The sequence below is a fragment of the Homo sapiens genome, chromosome 4, assembly GCF_000001405.40.
Source record: "Homo sapiens chromosome 4, GRCh38.p14 Primary Assembly".
Taxonomy (NCBI): domain Eukaryota; kingdom Metazoa; phylum Chordata; class Mammalia; order Primates; family Hominidae; genus Homo; species Homo sapiens.
In genome coordinates, this window is record NC_000004.12 from 190,011,674 (window position 1) to 190,030,730 (window position 19,057).

The 19,057-nt window shown below is 52.0% G+C and overlaps 1 protein-coding gene and 3 pseudogenes across 2 annotated transcripts, besides 2 other annotated features; 2 read left to right on the forward strand and 2 right to left on the reverse strand.

Moving 5' to 3' along the window:
• Positions 3,465 to 3,582, forward strand: RNA5SP174 (RNA, 5S ribosomal pseudogene 174; annotated as a pseudogene).
• Positions 4,914 to 5,111: a silencer, noted in NCBI's record as "fragment chr4:190937742-190937939 (GRCh37/hg19 assembly coordinates)". NCBI's record gives its function as "represses an EF-1alpha promoter that drives an FKBP-Casp9 reporter gene in an ReSE screen in HepG2 liver carcinoma cells {active_cell/tissue: HepG2}" and the evidence as "EXISTENCE:reporter gene assay evidence [ECO:0000049][PMID:32094911]".
• RNA5SP175 (RNA, 5S ribosomal pseudogene 175) lies at positions 6,023 to 6,141 on the forward strand (annotated as a pseudogene).
• Positions 9,496 to 10,992, reverse strand: DUX4L9 (double homeobox 4 like 9 (pseudogene); annotated as a pseudogene).
• Positions 9,763 to 10,417: an enhancer, noted in NCBI's record as "H3K27ac-H3K4me1 hESC enhancer chr4:190942591-190943245 (GRCh37/hg19 assembly coordinates)". NCBI's record gives its function as "activates a minimal SCP1, AML or CMV promoter by ChIP-STARR-seq in naive and primed H9 embryonic stem cells {active_cell/tissue: H9 hESC(naive and primed)}" and the evidence as "EXISTENCE:reporter gene assay evidence [ECO:0000049][PMID:30033119]".
• Positions 12,694 to 15,583, reverse strand: FRG2 (FSHD region gene 2). 2 transcript variants are annotated; one of them, NM_001005217.4, is made up of 4 exons: positions 15,354 to 15,583; positions 15,018 to 15,092; positions 14,711 to 14,788; positions 12,694 to 14,393 (listed from the first exon to the last, which is right to left on the reverse strand). In NM_001005217.4, exons 1-4 carry the CDS (start codon positions 15,529 to 15,531, stop codon positions 13,888 to 13,890), a joined length of 837 nt encoding a protein of 278 aa, NP_001005217.1. In that variant the 5' UTR covers positions 15,532 to 15,583; the 3' UTR covers positions 12,694 to 13,887. The 2 variants fall into 2 exon arrangements, with proteins under 2 accessions (NP_001005217.1, NP_001273749.1); NM_001286820.2 differs by having other exon boundaries at positions 15,018 to 15,095.
• Between the last annotated feature and the right edge of the window lie 3,474 nt (positions 15,584 to 19,057).

Genomic DNA, 19,057 nt, shown 5'->3' on the forward strand with positions numbered 1-19,057 from the left:
TTTAACCTCAGATCACTGAAAGAGGCACTGAAGAGACAGAAAAAACAGTCCTGAAATCACCATTTCCTTATCCCCAGCAGTGATGGCATGGTGCAGACAACAACTCTGGGTTCTGCAGGAGGGAGAACACAGCAATTGTGACGCACTGCACTCAGTGCTGTCCTGTTAGAGCAGAAAGGAAAACCAGACCAAATGCAGTTAATGCCCATCCACAGAGGGATCAATTAAACCAGCCCTAGCTAGAGGGGAATCAGATTCCAGTGGTTGGAACTTCAGTGTTTGGAAACCTGGCAACTAAGGGCTCCCGCACTGTGTGTCTAAGAAAACTTGAAAGGCAGCCTAGGCCATCAGGACTGCAACTCTTAGGTGAGGCCTAGGGCTGAACCGGGCCCAGGGACAGTGGACTGGGGTGGGGAGGGCATGCAACACACTGAGACACCAGCTGGGGCAGCCAAAGGAGTTCTGGCATTATCACTCCCTTAACACCAGACTGCACAGCTCATGGCTCCAAAAGGGACACCATCCTTCTGCTTGAGGAGAGGAGGGAAAAGAGTAGGGAGTACTTTGTCTTTCATCCTGGACACCAGCTCAGTCACAGCAAGATAGTGCACTGGTCAGAATCCTGAGGCCTCCTTTCCAGTCTCTGGCTCCTAGACATTCCTAGACACATCCTGGGCCAGAAGGAAACCTGCTGCCTTGAAGAAAAGAACCATGTGCTGGCAGGATTTATCGCCTGCAAACTTGAAAACCTTTGGGCTCTGAATAACCAGCAGCCATACCCAGTACTACATCAAGGGCCTTGGATGACCCTCATAGACTTGCTAGATTTAGGTGAACTCAGCACATTACCAGCTGTGGTAGCTAAAAGGCAAAACTCCTTCTTCTTGGGAAAAGTAGAGGGAAAATTAAAGGGGACTTTGTCTTGCCCCTTAGGTACCAGCAAGGCCAGAGGTGGGTAGAGCACCAAGCAAAATTTCATAATCCCTGATTCTAGGATTTGATTCTTGGCTGGCATTTATGAAGCTGCCCAGGGCCAGTAGGGAGCCCATTGCCCTGAAAACGGCAAGTCCCAGGCCAGGCAGCATTCATCGCAAGTTGACAAGAGGTTTTGGGCCTTAAGGGAACATTGGTGGTAGCCTGGCAGTACTCATTGTGGCCTGAGGTGGTGGTGGCTACTCTGCCTTTAGGAAAGGAAGGGAGGAATGGGAAGGACTATGTCTTGTGGTTTGAGTGTCAGGTCAGCTGCAATGCAATAGAATGTCAGGTGGACTTCTAAAACTTTTGACTCTACTCCCTGACTTCTGAATGGCACTTCTCGACCCAGCCAGGGACTGAGGGCACTCACTGCCCTAAAGGAAAGAACACAGGCCTGGCTGGCTTTGCCACCTGCTAATTGTAGAGACCAAAGGCCTTGAGTGAACATAGGCAGTCATCAGAAAGTGCATGCAGCAGGACTTGAGCAAGACCCAGTGCTGTGCTAGCTTCAGGTCTGATCCAGGGCAGTCATAGTGGTGGTGGCCAGGGGTGCTTGTGTCTTTCTTCTCCCAGCTTTAGGTGGCTTAGAACAGAGAGAAAGACTCTGTATCTTTGAGAGAAAATAATGGTAGAGAACAAGAGTCTCTGGCTAGTAATCTAGAAAATTCTCCTGGATCTTGTTGAAGGCTGTCAAGGTGGTACTTCTCTGAGTCTGGAAGAATTACAGCATTATTGGGTACAAGGTACCCATAAAGCAGATATGGCTTAGATCACAACACCCAAGTCTTTTAAAATATGTGAAAAGTCTTCCCAAGAAAGACAGCTACAAATAAGCCCAGACAGTGAAGACTACAATAAATACTCACCTTTTCTCTTTTTTAATTTTATTTTTTAAACCTCTCATATGGTGCTGCATGCCCAAGAATTTAATGTCCAGACACTGAATAACATCTACTAGCATCAACACCATCCAGGAAAACATGACCTCACCAAGTGAACTAAATAAGGCACCGGGGACAAATCCTGGAGAAAAAGAGATATGTGACCTTTCAGACAGAGAATTCAACATAGCTGTATTAAAAAAAAACTGAAAGAAATTTAAGATAACAAAATAAAGAAATTCCAAATTTTGTCAGCTAAACTCAACAAAGAGATTGAAAAATTTACAACAAATTAAGCAGAAATTCTGGAGCTGAAAAATGCAATTGGCATGCTGAAGAATGCATTAGAGCCATTTAATAGCAGAATGGATCAAGCAGAAGAAATAGTGAGCTTGAAGACAGGCTATTTGAAAATACGTAGTCAGAAGAGACAAAAGAAAAAGAATAAAAACAACAAATCATGCCTACAGGATCTAGAAAAATAGCCTCACAAAGACAGATCTAAGAGTTATTGGTTTTAAAGAAGATGTAGAGAAAGAGGCAGGGGTAGAAAAATTTATTCAAAGGGATAATAACAGAAAACTTTCCAAACCTAGAGAAAGATATCCATATCCAACTACAAAAATGTTATAGGACATTAAGCAGATTTAACCCAAAAAAAGACTACTTCAAAGCATTCAATAGATCTTCCAAAAGTCAAAGATAAAGAAAAGTTCTAAAGGAAGAAAGAGAAGAGAAACAAAGAACATAACAGTGAGCTCCAACACCTCTGGCAGCAGACTTTACGGTGGAAACCCTACCGGCCAGGAGAGAGAAGCAATAAATATTTAAAGTACTAAAGGAAAAAAAACCTTTTACCTTAGAATAGCATATACAGTGAAAATATTCTTCAAATAAAAAGAAGAAATACTGACTTTTCCAGACAAAAGCTGAAGTATTTTATGAATACCATGTCTGTCCTAAAGGAATGCTAAAGAGAGTACTTCAATCAGGAAGAAAAGGACATTAATGAGCAATAAATGATCACCTAAAGGTAAAAAAAATCCTCAGTGCTAATAGGATACAAAACAAAACAGAATATTATAACGCTGTAGCTGTGGGATGTGCAAACTACTCTTATTCAAAGTAGGAATACTAAATAATATCCAATCAAAAGTAATAGCTACAACATTTCCAGACATAGCACAATAAAATATAAATAGAAACAACAAAAAGTTAAAAAGTGAAGGGATGAGCACACCCGTCCTGAGCCGGCCGATGTGGTGGAGCTCGGAGCTCGGGAGCCGGGGACGCCCTGGAGCGTGGGCGGAAGGGAGGCCGCCCCGAGAGCCGGAAGCCTGGGCAGGGCACGGAGGCCTAGGACGCCCCCCAGCAACAGCAGGGCGGCGCCACATTGGTCCTGCGCGAGGCCTGGCCGCCGGCGACGGCGGGACGCTCTGGGAGGCCGGCGGTGCTCGGGCGTAGAGGGAGACAGCTGCCCGGGGGCACGGACGAGCGGCTCTGGGGGTCCCGGATCCGAGCCCCGCTGCCCCGGGGTGGCGGTGACGCCTGGAGCCGGGCGGACGTGGCTGGGCCGGGCTGTCGGGGCGGGCAGGCGCCGCTGCCGGTGTCTAGGCCACACCACCCTGAGCGCGCCCCAGCTCCTCTGAGCTCGTGAAGCTAAGCAGGGTCCGGCCTGGTTAGTACTTGGATGGATTCCGCCTGGGAATAGCGGGTACCGTAGGCTTTTGGCTTCCCGCTCCCTCCCTCTTTCCCCGTTTTGTCTCCGTGCTTCCCAACCGCCCCCTCCCTCCACCCTGTCCGCCCCTGCGCCCCAGCCGAAGCCCAGGACCTCCCCCTGAAGATCCGCCACTGCAGCACCGCCAGGCAGCAGCATCCCACCTTTTCCGACTCGCCGCAGCCCCACCAGGAGCCGGGCTCCAACCCAGGCGGACTGGACCGACCCCGAGGGCGCAGGCGCGGGTTCCCTGAGGTCCCGGGTGTCTTTCACGCTCCCCGGAAGCCCAGGCAATTCATTCATCCAGCGCCGCTGCGACGGTCCAAACCGGGGGAAGGGGCGGGCAGGGGCAGCGGGTCCCACAGACGCCAGCCGAGACCTCCGCTCCGGAACCCGTGGGCTGCTTTACCCGGGGGAAGGACATTGCCCTCGCCAGCCGTGAGGAAATCCGTCCCTGTGCACTTTGCCACCGACTTCGTGTAAATTCCAGTCCCGAGGACACGAGAGAGACCCAGGCCTGGCCCCGTGGACAGGCTCAGAGCCAGGGCTCTCGCCAGACGGATGGGCGCATCTACAAATCTGGGGGGCCACCGCATCGAGAAGACAGAAAGAAGCAAACAAAGGAAGGACCCTATGAAACGCACCCCCAAAGCAAACAACCAATCCAAGAAAAAACACGTCTCAGGGCTCCGTTGGTTTTCCCGCATGGGGGGCCCTGACCCCCTGTTCTAGCCCGGCCTAAGCACCCTCCACCCCACCCCGGCCTGCTCAAAGGGGGCCTGTCTACCTGAGCAGAGCCTCCCTCTCCAAGGCTCTGTCGCTCTCGCTCTGCAACTCCCTCAGCCTCTCCCTTTCTCTACTTCCCCTTCCACCTCGCGCTCTTCTGTCGCGCTCTCTCTTTCCCTCTCTCTCTCTCTCTCCTCCCCCACTCTCTGTCTCTCTCTCTCTCTATCGCTGTCTCTCTCTCTCCCTCTGGTTCTATCTCTCCATTCCTCTCTCCCTTCCTCTCCTTCTGTAGCAGGAGGAGCCGCAGACAAAACCCCTCAGACACCGAGTTGTAGAAGGAAGGGCTTTATTCAGCTGGGATCATCCGCAGACTCATGTCTCCAAAAACCGAGCTCCCCGACTGAGTAATTCCTGTCCCTCTTAAGGGCTTACAACTCTAAGGGGGTCTGCGTGAGAGGGTCGTGATCCATTGAGGAAGCAGAGGGTACTGACTGGGGGCCGCATGCAGCGGTAATTAGATCAGAACAAAACAGGACAGGGATTTTCACAGTGCTTTTCGATACAATGTCTGTAATCTATAGACAACATAACCGAGTAGGTCAGGGGTATATCTTTAACTACCAGGCCCAGGGTGTGACACCGGGCTGTCTGCCTATGGATTTCATTTCTGCCTTTTAGTTTTTACTAAAAGCGGTGCGCCCATGTGTGTCTGTTTGGGAATGGGTTTGCTCGTGATTGTGGTGGGGTGTGTCTGGATGTCCGTCAGTAACTTTGTCCCGGGATCAGGCTGCCTACTCTATCGCCAGCGCATGGGTGTCACAGTTGCTGTGTTAGTCTCAGTACGCAGAAATTGGGCATAAGACAATATGAGGGGTGGTCTCCTCCCTTACTTCAAGCTATCTTTGTCTGTGTCTGTGTCTTTGTGTGTCCGTGTGTGTGTGCCCGTGTGTGTCTCCGTGTGTGTCCGTGTGTGTGTGACCGCGCGCGTGCTCCCGTGTGTATCTGTGTGCGTGTCGGGGTGGGTTTGCTCGTGGTGGTGGGGTGTGTCTGGGTGGCCCATCAGCCCCTCTCCCCCGGGATCAGGCTGCGGGGGCTCTAGTGCCAGCGCGGGGCAAAGCAGGGCCTTGGCCAACGGGGCGAGTCCTCGTTGGGACAAGCGACAATGGTGTGGGCGTTGTGAGAAAAAGGGCCCTCAGGGCTGGGCCGGCTGTTTGCCCCTGGACAGCCCTGACGGCTCTGGGTGTGTGGGGCAAGAGGGGGCCTTGCAGGAGGGGCGGCGAGGGATCCAAAACAATTTTTCTGCGGCAAGACGAAGGACCGGAGGGGATCCCAGGACAGTTGGCCCTGGGCCCTGACGCCTCGGAGCACACCCCGTCCTGAGCCGGCCAGATGTGTTGGAAGCTTGGGAGCTCCCAAGCCGGGGAAGGCCTGGAGCGTCTGCGAAAAGGGAGGCCACCTGGTGTGCCTGGAGCCTGGGCAGGGGACTGAGGTCTCTGGCTCTCCCGCGCTGCAGCAGGGCGGTGCCACGGCGCGTTCTCTGGCCGCAGGCGACGGGGGTGGCTCTGGGAGGCCGGCGGAAGGCGCAGCGCGGCGGCCGGCGGTGCTGGGACCTTGATGGCGAGAGCAGCCCGGCCGCGGGGGAGCGGTTCTGGGGCCCCGGATCTGAGCCCCGCGGCCCAGGGGTGGCGGTGACGCCAGGAGTCGAGCAGCCGCCACTGCCGGCCTTTACGGCCACACCACCCTGAACGCACGGGATCTCGACTGACCTTGAAAGCTAAGCAGAGTCGGGCCTGGTTAGTACTTGGGATGCGAGACCCCCTGGGAATACAGGGTGCTGAAGGCTTTTGGCTCCCCGCTCCCTCCCTCTTTCCCCCTTTTGTCGCCGTGCTTCCCAACGGCCCCCTGACTCTACTCCCACTTTTCCGCACGCCTGCGCTCCACAACGCATGGGCTGGTTTCCACCGCGGAAGGACATTGCCTTCGTCAGCCACCAAGAAAACCGTCCCTGTGCACTTGGATTTTCATTGCCACCGACTTCGTGTAAAATCCAGTCTCGGGGACACGAGAGAGACCCAGGTCTTGAGCCCTGTAAGCACGCTCGGCGTTATGGCTCCGGTCAGATGGACAGGCGCACTCTACAAATCTCGGAGCCTACTGCATCAAGAAGACAGAAAGGAGCAAACAAAGGAAGGACCCTACCAAACGCACCCCTGAAGTAACTAACCAATCCAAGAGTGAACACGTCTCAGGGCTCAGTTAGTCCTCTCCCTTGGACGGCCCTGCCCCCCTGTTCTGGCCCAGCCCAAGCACCCTCCACCCCACCCCGGCCTGCTCAAAGGGGCCCTGTCTGCCAGAGCAGAGCCTCCTCCAAGGCTCTATGGCTCTCGCTCTCCAGCTCCCTCATCCTCTCTTTTTCTCTTCTTCCCCTCCACCTCTCGCTCTTCTGTCACCTTCTCTCCGTCTCTCCCCACCCTCTCTGTCTCTATCTCTGTCTCTGTCTCACCCTTTGTTTCTATCTCTCCATCCCTCTCTCCCTTTCTGTCCTTCAAGCCGTCTGTGTCTTTGTGTGTGTGTCCGTGCGTGTCCGTGTGCGTGTGCGCGCGCCCGTGTGTATCTGTGTGTGTGTGGGGGGGGTGGGTTTGCTCGTGGTGGTGGTGGGGTGTGTCTGGGTGTCCGTCAGCCCCTCTTTCCCGGGATCAGGCTGCCGGGGCTCTAGTGCCAGCGCGGGACAAAGCAGGGCCTTCCTGCCCCGTTGGCCACGGGCCGGTCTTCCTCGGGACAAGCGACAATGGTGTGGGCGTTGTGAGAAAAAGGGCCCGCGGGGCTGGGCCGGCTGTTCGCCCCCGGGCAGCCCTGGCTTCTCTGGGAGCGTGGGGCAAGAGGGGGCCTTGCAGGAGGGGCGGCGAGGAATCCAAAATAATTTTTCCGCGGCAAGGCGGAGGACCAGAGGGGATCCCAGGACCGTGGGCCCTGGGCCCTGACACCTGGGATCACACCCCGTCCTGAGCAGGCCCCAAGTGTTGGAAGCTCCGGAGCTGGAGAGCCAGGGGAAGGCCTGGAGTGTCAGCTAAAGGGAGGCCGCCTGGAGAGTCCAGAGCCCTGGCAGGGAATGGAGGCCTCGGGCGCCTCAGCGGTCCTGCGCGTGGTCTGGCCGCCGGCGATAGCGGGACGCTCTGCGAGGCCGGCGGAAAACGCAGCGCGGCGACTGGTGCTTGGGCGTATAGAGGGGGAGAGCAGCCCGGCCGCGGGCGAGCGGCTCCGGGGGTGCCTGATCCCAGCCTCGCGGCCCCGGGTTGGTGGTGACGCCTGGAATCAGACGCGCGTAGCTGGACCGGGCTCTTGGACCAGCCAGGCGCCACCGCCATTGTCTACGGCCATACCATTCTAAACACGAGAGAAACCCAAGCCGGGGCCCGTGGGCACGCTCGGGGCCACTGCTCCCACCACAGGGACGGGCGCACTCGACAACTTTCAGGACCCACAGCACCAAGAGGACAGGGAGGAGCCAGCAAAGGAATGACGCTACGAAACGCACCCCCAAAGCCACCAACCAATCCAAGTGAAAACACGTCTCAGGGCTCCCTTGGTTTTCCCTCGTGGGCGGCCCTGCCCCCCTGTTCTAGCCCGGCCCAGGCACGCTCCACCCTACCCTGGCCAAAGGGGCCCCTGTCTACCAGAGCAGAGCCTCCTTCTCCAAGGCTCTGTTGCTCTCCTTCTCTAGCTCCCTCGCCCGCTCCCTTTCTCTACTTCCCTCTCCACCTTGCCCGCTCTCCTCCCTCTCTCTCTCTCTCTCTCTCTCGCTGTTTCTCTCTCTCCTTCCGTTTCTATCTTTCCATCCCTCTGTCCTTTGCTTTTCTTCAAGCTGTCTGTGTCTTTGTGTGTCTGTGTGTGTGCTTGTGTTCCCGCGCGTGCGCCCGTGTGTGTCTGTGTGTTTGGGAGTGGGTTTGCTAGTGATTGTGGTGGGGTGTGTCTGGATGTCCGTCAGTACCTTTGTCCTGGGATCAGGCTGCCAACTCTATTGCCAGCGCGTGGGTGTCACAGTTGCCCTGATAGTCTCACACACGCAGGTGTGTGGATCTCGTTCATTTTCATGTAGACAACGAGATCGAAACCACAGAGAAAAGAAACGTCCCGTGCATCACGGCCTGACGATGGATTCCTGTTTCCTGCAAAATGGGGGGTCTGCAATATAGCCTGTTTGAAACTGGAAAGGAGAGCACCGACACGATGCTGGTGTTCCACGCATTCCTGGAAGTTTCTGGGTCCCCACAGAGCTCGGGAAACAAACAGTCAACATGGTCACACTTTCGGGGGGCGGGGGCAGAGACTTGAGCAACAGGCACCTCTGCAGAGGGCAAAGAAACGTGGAATCCAGAATCACGCTTTAGTTGGCCTGAGCGTGATTCCTGTGTGGATGGGACTATCCGCCTCGCGCTCTGTTGCAGGGCTCAGCGTGGGGATATGTCATCTGTGAACCATGTGGATGAAAAACGGACAACCACCTGAGTCTCAGCTCATTGCTCTCTGGGGAATTCGCTCATTCCTTCGGAAACGGAATTCGTCTGAATCGCTCCGGGATGAAGTAACTCAGGCTGGCGATCCGGAGGGCCCAGCACTTAGCCCGCGCTGGGCACCCAGCATTTTCCCGGAGTGCTGGGTCCTGTTGGTTCTGGAGGCAGAAGACCGTTTTTCTGTCTGCCTTCCTTTATCTGTTTCTTGCTCCTTTTGTCCCTCGGTCCATCCTTCCGTCTGCTCTTCCCTTCCTCCCCTGGTTTTTTCCTCCCTTTCTCCCTCCCTCCCTCTTTCTCTCCTTTCCAGGGTCCCTCCGTCCATCCATCCTTTCCTAGCTCCATCCTTCCCTCCCACTCTGTCTCCGTTCCCGTCCTCATCTCTGCCTGCCTTGCCTCTTGCCTGGAAAGGGCAGCACCCTGGTTTGCACGGGGTCTCGGGTCTACATTTAGTTGCAAGGCGCTCCATGGTGCTGGCGAGGAGGCTGGCGGGACGGGGGTTGGCAAGTGTTGGTGAGCGAAGAGGCAGAGGAGTCGAGCCACGGAAAGGAGAACTGGCCTGGCTTCTGCCCCGGCCCAGCGCTTCGCGGACTGAGGTCTCCGCCAACTCGACTGAAGAACGCTGGGGAAAAAGGAATGAGAGCTCCGCCTGGGCTGGTTGGAAAACCTAGGCTGCTGCCTGCAAACCTGCGCATGCGCAGTAGACAGTCCACCTCCCGGTACCTGGGCGGGCCCTGGGATCCCCGGGATGCTCAGGAAAGAATGACAGCCCTCCTCTGTGTGGAGTCTCTCACCGGACCTGGAACTCAGGGATCCTAGACAGGTCAGCTGGAAGGGAAGGCACGCCTCTCCATACCGAGTCAGAGGTTCACCGCGAAAGAGAGGGCGCCATCCTGCCCCCACCCCGCCCCAACCCCGCTCCAACCTGCTCCTCCAGCAGAGCCCGGTGTTCTTCCTGGCTGAGGAGTGGTTCCAGCAGAGCGGGCTCTTCCACGTCCTTCAGCTCCCCCAGTGGCGCCGGATCTAGGAAAGGTCGTGCCTTTTGCTGAAACTCTGGTGTCTACAGGAGCTCATATAACAGGCTGGAGGTGACTGTAGACGAGCGCCCCGGCTCCTGGAGCGGTTGGGAGGCGCCTGGATGGCTGGCATCTGTGCTTGCCGCGGAGGCGTCCGGGGGCGCGGGCTGGGGAGGTGGAGCTGCCCCGGCTTGGGGTTCCCACGCCGCCCCGGCGACCTGGGGACCCCGGCCCCAGCCCCACCACGGACTCCCCTGGGACGTGGGTGGCGCAAGCACCCCTTGGCCCTGCGGCCCCGCTTGAGCGGGCCCAGGCTGTGCCACCGCGCAGGGGCCCGGCAGGCCGTCGCGCTGCGCGTCCCGGTCCTCCCGGCTTTTGCCCGGGTGCGGAGGCCACCGAGGAGCCTGAGGGTGGGAGAGCGCCCCGTCCGGAGGAGCCGGGGCGGCGTAGGCGAAATCCCCGCGCGCCGGGGCAGGTTGGGAGACCCCCTCTGCCGGCGCGGCCTGGCTGGGCTGCAGCGCGGGGGCGGCCCTCGCTGCCTGGCTCACGAAAGCCCCCTGTGGGAGAGCCCCAGGCGCGCAGGGCACGTGGGGTGCGGGAAGCCCCGTTCCCCACGCGCCGGTGTGGGCGAAGGCGACCCACGAGGGAGCAGGGTGACCCCCGCCAGGGGCCGCGCTGCACAGGCCGCCTGCCTGCGCGGGCGCCCTGCCACCCTGTCCCGGGTGCCTGGCCCTTCGATTCTGAAACCAGATCTGAATCCTGGACTCCGGGAGGCCCGTCTCTCTGGCCAGCTCCTCCCGGGCGGCGATGCCTGGAAAGCGATCCTTCTCAAAGGCTCGGAGGAGCAGGGCGGTCTGGGATCCGGTGACGGCGGTCCGCTTTCGCCGGCCTTCTGGCGGGCCGCGTCTCCCGGGCCAGGGCCGAGATTCCCGCCGGTGCTGCCTCAGCTGGCGTGACCTCTCATTCTGAAACCAAATCTGGACCCTGGGCTCCGGAATGCCGATGGCCTGGGCCAGCCGTTCTCTGGTGGCGATGCCCGGGTACGGGTTCCGCTCAAAGCAGGCTCGCAGGGCCTCGCTTTGGCTCGGGGTCCAAACGAGTCTCCGTCGCCGTCCTCGTCCCCGGGCTTCCGCGGGGAGGGTGCTGTCCGAGGGTGTCGGGAGGGCCATCGCGGTGAGCCCCGGCCGGAATTTCACGGACGGACGCGGGCAGAGAGAGGCCGGCGGGCTCCCGTGCACCTCAGCCGGCCTGTGCACTGCGGCAGGTGCAGCCAGGAGGCCCTTAGAAAGACCTACCACCTCCACCGCGTTATGAACATGCATGAGCTCGGGGCCCAAGGTCCCGGGGTAGCCCGCCCTCCGAAGCCGAAAACCACAGGGACCAGGGCCTTGTGGGGTGGGTGGGTGCAGGGCCGGATTGGAGGGGAAAGAGGGGCTTCCGGGGCTGGCTCTCTGAGGTTCTCCAGTAATTCTATGGAAACTGGAAGCCGCTGTCTTGACTCAGTTTTCAGGCAGAAACCACCCCGAAGGGTGGAGTGTGGAACTGAGCTTCCGTGACGGTCTTGAGTTTTCCAGGCCCTCTGTGGGTGTCGCCGTTGCCGTGATAGTTCACACACGCAGGGGTGTGGATCTCGTTCGTTTTCATGTAGAAAACGAGAGCGAAACTGCAGAGAAAAGAAACGTCGGGTGCATCACGGCCTGACCACGGATTCCTGTTTCCTGCAACAAGGGGAGTCTCCACTGTGGCCGGTCTGGAAACCGGAAAGGAGAGCGAAGTCACGATGCTGCTTTTCCACGCTTCGCTGGAGGTTTCTGTGTCCCCGCAGAGCTCGGGAAACAGCCAACGTGGTCGCGCTTTCGGGGGCGGGAGACACGCGAGCAACAGGTCCCCTTGCAGAGGGCGAAGGAGCGTGGAACCCGGAATCACGGTTCACTCGGCCCGAGTGTGACTCCCGTGTGGACGGGCCTGTCCGCCTCGCGCTCTGTTGCTCAACGCGGGGCCGTGTCGTCTGTGAACCACGTGGATGGAAAACGGACAATCACCCGCGTCTCGGCTCATTGCTCTCATTCCTTGGGAGGCGGAATTCGTCCGAATTGCTCCGGGATGAAGTGACCCGGGCCGGCGATCCGGAGGGCTGGTGAGCTGGTGGGCGCCCCGCAAGCAGACGCGGCTGTGGGCCGAGCTCTCGGCCTGCACCGGGCACCCCACGTTTTCCCGGAGTGCGAGGTCCCGCTGGCCCTGGAGGCGGAAGACCGCTTTCCTCTCTGCTTTCCTCTCTGCTTTCCTCTCTGTCTCTTGCTCCCTTTCTCCCTCTGTCCTTCCCTCCCTCCCTCCTCCTTCTCTCCCTCCCTCCCTCCCCGCTCCCCACTTTCTCCTTTCCAATGTCCCTCTATCCATCCGTCCTTTTCTCGCTCCATTCCTCCCTTTCTCTCTGTCTCTGTTCCTCTCCCCATCTCTATTTTTCAACATTATATGATCCCATTGTGTGTATCTGTGTGTTAACATTTTTTAGCAATAAAATTCATTTTCATTATGTACATTGTTATTTAGACACATTATTTATGTATGTGCATTTGTTTAATAGACATAATTTATTTCAGCGTTATTCTACAGCAGAGTGTAAGCATAACTCATAAGCAGTGTCAACCCAAAAATTGTGTGACTCGCGTTACTGTGATTCTTTTATACTGCAGTGCTCGAGAATAAAATCTCTGTATCTCCAATTCATATCTGTGTATTACCATTGAATTGGCCCCATTTCCTGTAGTGATAGAACACTATTCCCGCACTATGACAAGAGCTGTGGGCTGTGGGGAGGTCAGGGATAGGATGACACGGAAGTGACGATAAGACATTCTCTTTTTCACATTTTTATTAAATACAAATTCCATATGAAAGAAATTTAAAATTCCAAACAACATTGTTTATTTCATTACATAAAATGAAAATTATAAAGCAACCAAACAATTAATACACTTAGATAATGAAATAGTGTATGATCTCAGTACAAAATACAAGTAGAATATACGTCAAATATAACAAAATACACTGTATTGTAGTACGTGATGAAATCTCCATATCCTGCAATATAGTACAATCAATTGAAATGTATAAAATATAATAAAATATAAATTTAGGATGTTTAAAATGAAATGAAACATGAGGCAGGTCAATAAATAAGTACAATCATTTACCATTTACTATATCTTGACTTAAATTTTATGTAGAAATATTAAAAGTAAACAGCTTGCATAGTAATTTTACTATAATTATATCAAACTAAAAATATATAGACATTTTCCCACAGGGAGTGCTATTAATGGTTTGTGGATATTAGTACTCCATGGGTTCAGGCTGGAAGAGTGAGAGCCTACAACCTTTTCTGGATTAAAAGAGAAGCAATTTCTTGGTAAGGCGGCTCATGCCTGTAATCCCAGCACGTTGGGAGGCGGAGGCTGGCAGATCACCTGAGTTCGAGGCCAACCTGGCCAAAGTGACAAAACTCTGTCTCTACTAACAATACAGGAAAAAAAAAATTAGCCAGGCATAGCAGTACATGCCTGTAGTCCCAGCTGCTTGGGAGGCTGAGGCATGAGAATTGTTTGAACCCAGGAAGCAGAGGTTGCAGTGAGCTAAGATTGTGCCACTGCACTCCAGCCTGGGTAACATAGCAAGACTGTCTCAAAAAAAAAAAAAAACAAAAAAGGAGCACATAATTTTATATTTACTTTTCTACAATCTAAAATATGCAAATTCACGATTACATTCTAATGTTTTTCTGATTATATAGAAATGCATGACTGTCATCAGACATCCAAAAGGCATCAAATGTCTAACATGAAATATAAAATTTGTCTATAGTCTTAGCGGTCTGCAAAATTCAGGGCTCTCACCATTCTGAGTATACCGCTCAAGTTTCTTTCCTATGACTTCTTCAGGTTCTGTCATTTATTAACACAGTGTGTCTAAAATTGTCACTGCTGGTCATCTGGAAGAATCTGAGAAGAAGCAGATCCTTGTTCTCATTCCCAGAGCTGCATCTCTGCTGAATAGGGTCAGGGTGCTCACAGCTTAGCCTCATCTGATCCACTGACAGTCTCAGTTATCTCCTGCCCAGGGAAGGGATGGGCTTCTCTATCCAGGGCTGATTCCCCAGGACCTGGCAGTGTGGCTGGGACAAGCCAGCTCTCAGCAGGGAAGACATAAGCTGCCTGGGTGGCCATGGAATACAAGGTCTGCACCTGGGCACACAGAGGCCCCCGGAGCCGAGTGAGCAGTGTCAGCTGCTCACAGGTAAGTGGAGAATGGATCTGCTGTGCCCACACCTGGGCTAGGTCTTGATAAACAGCCTCTGACATAGCTCGCACAGAAGTCACCAAGCTTTTTCGAATTGACGGTGTTTGGACTCCTAGGGCCCGAGACCTATGCCGCTTGCTGTGCCCAGTGCAAGCCCTGGAATGTCCCCTATGGTGGGCATCACAGGTCTCCTGGATTTCACTGTTGTGCACAGCAGTGGAGGATCTTGATTTTTTATTCAATGACAAGCTGCACTCCTTTTCTGGACAGTTCCCTGCAAAGAAAGCATGTGAGAGACTCACCAGAGCAGTCCCCACAGACCCTGATTTCCAGAACCCCCTGTACACCCAGGTGAACCCCACTTGTCTCTCCCACTCCTTCCTGACCATCTCAGCACTGGAATGAAGTGAGGCTGAACCCCCTGTGAGTCCCCAAATATTCTCAGAGTGCTAAGATCTCAAAAATTTACTCGTCAATAAGTAACTCCCTTTCCGCTCAAGCCTCGTATAAAAGTTTCCTGATTATTTGCCTTTTGGGGCAAACCAAAAACAAAAAAACCACCACCACCAACAACAAACACCAAGATTCTACCTGCTGTGTCTTGGCAGCTGTCCTTGGAACTCATTTTTCTTTTCCTGCAGTTTTCCCGATATGAGCTGGACTCTGGTTCTGTGAACACAATGAGAGTTTGAGAAAGTGCCTCCAACTGAACACCCTGAAATTCCTAGTCCATCCTGGACACACAGGAGCTGAGGTTACCACCAAACCCCAGCTCTCTTCTGTTCTCCAGTGTCCAGGATCTGTACGGCCCTGGCTGCCAAGGAGCTCCCAGTTTCCTTGCCAGGGGAGCCTGTGTTGCTTCCCTGTCCCTTCTCACCTTGAAAGAGTCAAATCTTACCTGATCCAGCAGTGCTGTTCCCGGCCTTGAGCTTGGTTTCCTCAGAATTCTCCTTGTTTGGATTGGGCTCCGATCCTGCTGCAAGAGAAGGTTTAGGTGACTCACCTCTCCCTAGGCAGAGTCCCACAGTCTATCTCTGATGCATTTTTGCGGATCAGTCTTTCATGTGAAGCTCTTCTGCCAGTGTCACGAGTGAACACATTTCTCAAGTCCCCTGAGGGCACTAAGCCATTTCCCATCCCCAAATCTCAAAATAAAACCCTGCTAAAGACACAGCTCAGTATCCCTGATTCCAACCCTCCTTCCAGACTCCACAGGAGCAGCCCAAGGCCTTACCTTGCCTTTGTATGTGCTTCTCACTGGAATGGGAGAAGGCGGTCTTGCCTTTTTCTTTGAATGGTTTCTTCTCATCTGAGCCCTTTTCTGTAAAGGAGATCTGTTGGAAAGGGGGCTGGTCAGTGGAGCACTGGATGGAGGAGCAGTGGAGATCGGAGTCTTCATTTCCCTTTCCCATGTTGAAGCTCAAGTGAAAGGTGCGCTCTCTCTCACGTCCAAAGGCAGAGTGTGGGTTAGTCTGCTAGACCTGCCTTTTATACGTCCCTCGGCTGGGCGTGGCTTACTCTTATTGGCTGAAGAGTTTTCTCATTCCTGCCGCTTCTTAGAGCCTCAATCAGAAGTTTCTTGCTGTAGTTCTACTGGGGACCTAGACACAGTTAAAGGGAGACATTTTCAGGATCCTGTCATGGTGTCCAGAAAACAAAGAACCGGGAGCACAGGGACCGGAAAATCGGGGAAGCATTTCTTCCTATTTCTGTCCCAGTTCCTACCTGGAAGGATTTATGATCCTGTTCACCTTTCAAGATGCACAATTAAACATGCCTATATTGTCATATGTTATATATTTTGCACAGAAAGAGAATTTATTATACATAGTGTTAACATTGTATGCATAGATATTATAATTTCTTAAATGCTTGGAAACAACAAATGTCAAATTATGGTTGATTGTATTAGGTCCACACATATATGATGAAATAAAAATGCAGAGAAAAAATAAATACCAAATGAAATGGCCCTTCCTACCTTAAAAATGGGGAAGATAATTAGATCAAATGCAATAAAATTGAATTGATTAGGTTGAGTCAGTGCTAACCTAATTAGCCCCCGATTCCTGAGGTAGCAAAAAGTCTCGGTGGAAAAACTTTCCCCCATTCTCACCCTTCCTCAGTCATCCTGGGAGCGCCATTGTGTTCTGTGGGCTTTATTCAGCCCTCCCTAGTGAAAATGGACTTGGTCTCAAACAGGTAACCCAACTGATCACAAGACAAACAGCCTAGATTCTGAACATCAGCTCCTGTCTTCACACTGCGGACACCACCTGAATCCCGTCAAAGCCCACATTGATTCTCAACATCCACCAGCAAGACGTATTCCAGGGCAGCCTCTCAAAACTGCCTCAGTGAGACAGGACAAGGTGTGGTGGAGCTCCAGGTTCAGAACAGCTGCCTCATCCCTTCCTACTGCGGCGGAGTCTGTCTCTGCTGGTCAGAGCCCTCCAACTAGCCTAGTCTATGTCCAAGCAAGTGTCCCCTAAAAGGACCTTCTTGTCTCCCCCTCTGCTGAGGAAAGCATGCAGGAACGAGACCTTCTATGTTAAGGAGTACTCAGCCTCCAGTCCCAAATGACTTGATTGACTGATGAACTGATTCCTTGAGGAGGAGAAAGTCACAGGGAAGAGACTGTGTTGGGTGAGTCTGTGTTTTCCCAGCTGTGCTGCCTGTGCAAATAGTGGAACGAAAAAAGAATTAGTGGTAGACAGACACTGCCTAGTGAAATTGTCTGAAAGTAAATGGAACTTATCATAATATGATATCGTTATATATTATAATATTATGATATGAAATTTGACATCTAAATAAATTTTGATATATTATGAAATAATATATAAAATTTGGTCAGGTAATTTCATAAATTTTGTAACAACATTAACCTATAAACTCAATAGAAAGCTAGGAAAATTGTCTGCTCTTGTGTAAATGACTGCGTTTTGGATAACTCTGTAAAAGCTGTGAAGAGGGGTCTGCTACTTACGTGATAGTAAGTACTTGATAAGACATCGACTTGCACATCTTTGCTGTTTTTAACCAATGCTCTCTCAAGATATGAGAATATTTTACTCTAAGAAAGTATTTTCCTAGATATCGTAATAGGAATTTTGTTAATTTTAGTTAATAAATTATTACAACATTTAGTGATTATTAATAATTTATGTCATTGTTAAAATATATTCCTACAGAGAACATATTACCCATGTGTTTTTATTTGTCCTTTAATCTCAGGTAAATTTTTTAAATTTTTATTTATTAAATTCTATTTATTTTAGACAAAAGAGACCTTGTAACTGCCATATGATGTACTTTCTTAGAAAGAGAAATTCTCAGGCAAAACTTAGGACTGGCTGGGCATGGTGGCTTATGCCTGTAATCCCAGCACTTTGCGAGGCCAAGGCGGGTGGATCACCTTAGGTCAGGAGTTCAAGGCTAGCCTAGCCAACATAAGGAAGCCCCATCTGCACTAAAAATACAAAAAAAAAAATTAGCTGAATGTGGTGGCTCATGCCTGTAGTCCCAGCTAGTTGGGAGGCAGGAGGATTGCTTGAACCCGGGAGGCAGAAGTTTTGGTGAGCCGAGATCAATCCACTGCACTCCAGCTGGGCGACAGAGCAAAACTCCATCTCAAAAAAAGAAAAAACTCAGCCTTATTTTTATCAAAATCTAGATTGTAAATGACATTTCTAGGTGTCCCCTTTCAATAAAAATCCAAACCAAAACAAACAAAAAGCTTCTAGGTAATTCATATGAATATTAATAACTGTTAAATTGGGTACTTTTATTTTTAAGAGAGGGATTGTTTATATGGATGTGTTGATGTATCAAACATGTACAGTTAAAATTGTACCTTTTTTTGACAGAGCCTCACTCTGTCCCTCTGGAAGGAGTGCAGTGGTGCAATCACAGCTCACTGCAGCCTTGACCTCCCAGACTCCAGTGATCCTCCCAAGTCAGCCTCTCAAATAGCTGTGACTAGAAGTGTGCACCACTATGCCCAACTAACTTTTAAAAAATTGTTGTAGAGATGAGGTCTCACTCTCTTGCCCCAGTGAGGCCTTGTTATGTTGCCTAGGCTGGTCTCAAACTCCTGAGCTCTGGCTTCCAAAGTGATGAGGTTACGAATGTGAGCCACCATGCCCAGCCAAGATTAGACCTTTCAATGAGTGCACATCTTACCTCAAAAAAAAAAAAAAGAAAAGAAACTTATTAAAAGATAAAGTCTGAGTTAAAAGTGGGTTCACACTAATGATTTTTAGTTTGGTACTTCTATTGTTAAAAGAGGGATTGCTTATATGGGTGTGTTTATGTGTAAAAAGCTAGTTAAGGTCGAACCTTTATTTATTTTTTTTTTGAGACAGAGTCTCACTCTGTCACCCAGGCTGATGTGCAGTGGCACAATCACAACTCACTGTAGCCTCAAACTCGTAGAATCAAGGGATCCTGCTATGTCAACATACCAAGTAGCTGGAACTACAGGCATGCACCACCGCGCCTGATTAATTAAAAAAAAAATTTAATAAAGATGTGGTCTCACTATGCTGCCCAGGCTGCTCTCAAACTCCTGACCTCAAATGATCCTCCTGCCTTGTCATTCCAAAGTGATGGGATTACACAGGCTTAAGCCATTGTGCTCAGCCAAGATTTTACCTTCAATGAGCACACATTTTATACCACAAAAAATAATAATAAATAACAAAGTCTGTGTGAGAAATGAGTTGAAGTATAGATAACACAAAATTGGCATGTTATTAGTTGTTGTTGAGCCTGGGTAACAGGCCTATTGTACTGTTTCTTTTATTTTGTGTATGTTTTAAATTTTCTGTAATAAAACATGTATAATAATACAAAGTTGATCTACACTGTTAGCTCTTAAGATCTTAGTGACTTTGGGGGAGCAAAAGAGAGAAAGTGGTTACCAGGACATCTGTG